At 34.7% G+C, this 4,641-nt stretch overlaps 1 annotated feature.

The window, feature by feature from the left end:
• Window positions 509–1,120: an enhancer, noted in NCBI's record as "OCT4-NANOG hESC enhancer chr3:174130757-174131368 (GRCh37/hg19 assembly coordinates)". NCBI's record gives its function as "activates a minimal SCP1, AML or CMV promoter by ChIP-STARR-seq in naive H9 embryonic stem cells {active_cell/tissue: H9 hESC(naive)}" and the evidence as "EXISTENCE:reporter gene assay evidence [ECO:0000049][PMID:30033119]".

Genomic DNA, 4,641 nt, shown 5'->3' on the forward strand with positions numbered 1-4,641 from the left:
TAAGCAATAAGAACCTTGGTCTCCACAATTCCTTACCTTAACTTAAACACTCCCTTCTGTCTATTCTAAGTCTTTAGATAAACTCTCTCAACCAATTGCCAATCAGAAAATCTTTGAATCCACCTATGACCTGCACACAACCCCCTCCACCCACCCCTGCCTTGAGTTGTCCCATCTTTCCGAACCAAACAAATACATAATACATCTTACATGTATTAACTGATGTCTTGTATCTCCCTAAAATGTATAAATTCAAGCCCAATCACCTTGGACCCATGTTCTTAGGATCTCCTACGGCTGTGTCATGGGCCATGGTCACTCATATTTGGCTCAGAATAAATTTCACAGAGTTTGAGTCTTTCCATCAACATGCACCTTAAAAGGAGAAGGGAAAATTCCCTTCACCCCTACAACATTATTAATGTTTTGTCATTTTTGTTCAGTTTTTTTGTACTTTATCATTTAACAGTACATCCCCAAAACTTTTAGATGTTATTAAAATGTCTTTATAGTATAATATAACTAATCCTTAATAGCCTAATATAAATATGCACCACCATTTATCCATCCATTTGTTGAATGTTTGTGTGATAATATATTTTCATGATTATATAATTTTTGCAATAAACATTTTTATGCATTACTCATTGTACCAGTTTGAATTACTCCATTAGGCTGTATTCCCAAGATAAGAGGTCAAATGTCATGAAAAAATTTGCCTGTAACAGGATAAACTGAGGGCTCCCAGGGGTATTTATAAAGAACAATAGGTGGTTAGAATGTTGCTAACAACCCTGGATTTAGCACTTTTGTTATCTAAAGCTATTTCGTCAGCTCTCAGGCTTTTATTATGCTGAATGGGCCATGGGAACTGAATGAACTTTTTGAGAAGTCCAAAGTTAGAAATGCTGGGAATAGTAGGAGCAAAAGTAGGAAAGGAAAAAGATGTAAATAGTACCGGGGTAGTGAAATTTTGTGAGAAATTTGTTTAAAGGGAATATAATAGGATTTAGGAAAAATCTTTTACATGGAACCTACATTCTCTTTTACAAAAAGCTTGTAATGTTTGTTCACACTCTGTCTTCAAGAAGTTCAGACAGGTCACATGGAAATTTACTAAGGCTGGTACACAAAGGCTTATAAATGCAAACTTCAAAAGAATATCTGCAAAGCTTGCATGCTATGAATCTATAAAGTAGGTATGTGGGTTAAGGATATAAGCTTTTGGAACACAAAAAGCCATAAAAGAGGCTTTTAGCTACTGCCTGGTGGTTTTAAATTTGGGAGGAGGAGGTAGAGGGTGGGACTTATGGAGAGGCCTGTAATGATAGTTTCCAAGTTTAGATCTTGAGAAGAACTGGATACAAATATATGCAATTTTCAACAACACCCACTTTCCTGTAAAAAAGGGTTTGATAATTTCTAATGAGGCAGTTTAAGTCTAACATTTTGTTTAAGACCATAGACTCAAGCACCATGCTACCTGGGTTCAAATACAAAATAATGAAAGGTAAAAAATGAATAAAAATGGTTTACCTATATAAGCAAAGAGAAAATAGGAAAAACAACCCAGTTTTGAATTCAGAATCATGTAAATGTCACACATATTTTCAAAAAAATAATAAGTCCAAAGGATGACAGAACAAACCATCCCCAAAATTTGAAAACAAAGTGAAACAAATAAACCTAAGTAGGCTGGGTGTGGTGGCTCATGCCTGTAATGCCAGCATTTTGGGAGGCCGAGGCGGGTGGATCACTTGAGGTCAGGAATTTGAGACCAGCCTGGCCAACATGGTGAAAACCCGTCTCTACTAAAAATACAAAAATTAGCTGGGCATGGTGGCTCATGCCTCTAATCCCAGCTACCAGGGAGGCTGAGGCAGGAGAATGGCTAGAACCAGGAGGCGGAGATTGCAGTGAGCCTAGATAGCCCACTGCACTCCAGCCTGGGAAACAGAGTGAGACTCCATCTCAAAATAATAAATAAATAAATAAATAAATAAATAAATAAATAAATAAAATAAACCTAAGTATATATTGGTTGGTACCATAACTGCATGGACAAGAATTATTTCAAATACCTTTCAAACATGTTAGTTTGACTCTGCATCCCAAAGCATAATATCCTGACTCTACATTCTTGTATCCTCAGAAAAACTAACTGAAAAAACACTGAAATTGTATTCAGTGGTATTACGCTAGTAGTAATGTTGGTGTCGTTATTTCAGTATTTGGTATGTTGGTATTATTATTGTTAATGGAAAAATCAACCTCTGTAAAATATTTTAGAGAGGCTTATTCTAAGCCAGTATGAGTGACCATGGCCTCTTGAAACTGTGTTTCAAGAGGTCCTGAGAAAATGTGCCTTAGGTGGTCGGTTTGGTTTTATACATTTCAGGTAAACAGGAATTGTAGACAAAGACATAAATCAATACATGGAAGGTATACATTAGTTTGGTCTGAAAAAGTGGGATATTTTGAAGCAGGGGCTTATAGGTTATAGATAGATTCAGAAATTCTTCAATTTGGAATTGGGTAAAGAAGTAAAGCTTTGTCTTAAAATTTGGAGTTAGCAGAAAGGTATTTTTATGATAAGAAAGTCTGTTAACCAATTGACTGGGTCAGAGTGACCTGTAAGTGTGTGTGACTTAACCCTTGTCCGGCATGGCCTCAGGTCCTGTTTATAATTGGGTATCTTATTGTCACAAAAAGTCCATTTTGTTAGTCTTATGATCTCTGTTTTAACATTAATGCTGGTTGGTGGTTTTGCCTAAATTCCAAAAGGGAATGGGTATAATTATGCATATCTGACCTCCCTTCCTGTCTTAGACAGGAATTCTGTTTTTAAGGTTTTTCTGGGGTCCTCTTGGCCGAAAAGGGATCCTTTTAGTTGGTGACGGCTTAAGATTTCTAATTTATAAATGCAAACTTATTTTGAAATTTTCATGTACATTATTATATACCTTATGTACACACATACTTATGGTAGGATAAAGCAAATGAATAATATACTTATGTCATTATAAAATAAGGATTTTCAAAGAAACAGAAAAGAGATACAAATATGAAATCAAATAAATTATGAAATAAACCAAAACTTAAGATTTTCAATGTATTTTTTCTAAAAAAAAGTTTATTTCCTAACATCATTTGCCAAACGTGAAACAAATAGTGTAATAAAAGATGACAGCAATAGATCAAAATATATATCTTGATATAGATATACAGATATAGATATATGTTAACATCATAATAATATTCATAAAGAAACTTCTTAACTTCATAATGATATTCAAAAGGAAATTCATATATTGGCTTTGATGATTAATAAGACAAGAACTCATTATTATAATAATAAAAGAAGAAAAGATAACATTTATTCTGTCTTTCCTATTAAGACCGTATTTCAGAATACTCAAAAAATGTATGAAATTTCCTCTTTAGAAAAGAATAACAACTAGTAAATTCAGGAGTAATATTAGAATTGAAACATCACCACTTTGCACCTTGAATTAAATAATAAATGCTAAAACTATTAGATGAAAGATTGATGGGAAAAATTTTTAATGGATAGATGGCAACACTTGATCCATCTTAACCTAAATAAAAATAAGAGAATACATTATGTTCTTCCTGATGCAATAGGAAGTTCAGATTATATCACCTCTCTATGGTCTGTTATTGCCAAAAAAAGAAAAAAGCAAAGATGAATCTAATCAAATCTGGATCTACTGCCAAATTATTGCAAAAACATGGGTGTGGAGAAACATGTTAATTAATACTACATTCATATAATCAGTCCAGTGAAAAATATAAAAGATTCTGCAGTATAAATGATTTGGCAGATATAGTGAGAAATGGCATAAAAGGGGGTGGGGAGAGTTAGCATGCAATACAAACATGCTCACACCACGTGCCCACTCCCATAGGTCTAAATACATGCTTCTTTTCTAGTCCTACTTGATCCCAATCTTCCAATCTTACTCCTTTCTGACTTCTCACCAGAGAGCTAAACCATTAACTATTGCCTAAGAGTTCACGTATACCCTTAGTTTGGACGACTTTTCTTATTATACAAATGAATGACCAAATGAACTGACAGATACTCTGCCTAAGGGATTTTCCTCACAACTGTCTGTCAGGGACATTCCCAAGTAAGGGGTATAGTAAAATAGCAGTTCATTTTCCACCGGTAACCATGTATCAAGCCAACCTATCCATGGATCAAACTCAAACTGTCTTTCTCTATCAGCTGGTAATGGAGAATTCCTCCCATGAGGCTAAGGGAGTGTTGTTAATGCAACATTTTCAGGTGACATGGAGGTCCAAGCCGTCTTTCTTGAAGCTTACTTAAGCTCTCTGGACTTAATTGAGCCCAAAACTTTAAATATAACACTTCCATTTTACAACAGATCGCTGCTGAGGTTGCCTAATGTTATGACTTGTTAACTAATGGTCTAACTCAGTTCAAGATAGATTATTTTATTATGTGGTCATTTGATGTTCTAGGTTCAGAAGATTGGTTTCTATGTGAGTCCAGTAGTATACCAAAAGCTGTTTTTCTTTTTCTTTTATTTGTTTCTTTATTTTAGAGACAGGATCTTGCTGTATTGCCCAGGCTGGTCTCCACCTCCTGGCCCC

Source organism: Homo sapiens, chromosome 3 (genome assembly GCF_000001405.40).
Source record: "Homo sapiens chromosome 3, GRCh38.p14 Primary Assembly".
NCBI lineage: Eukaryota > Metazoa > Chordata > Mammalia > Primates > Hominidae > Homo > Homo sapiens.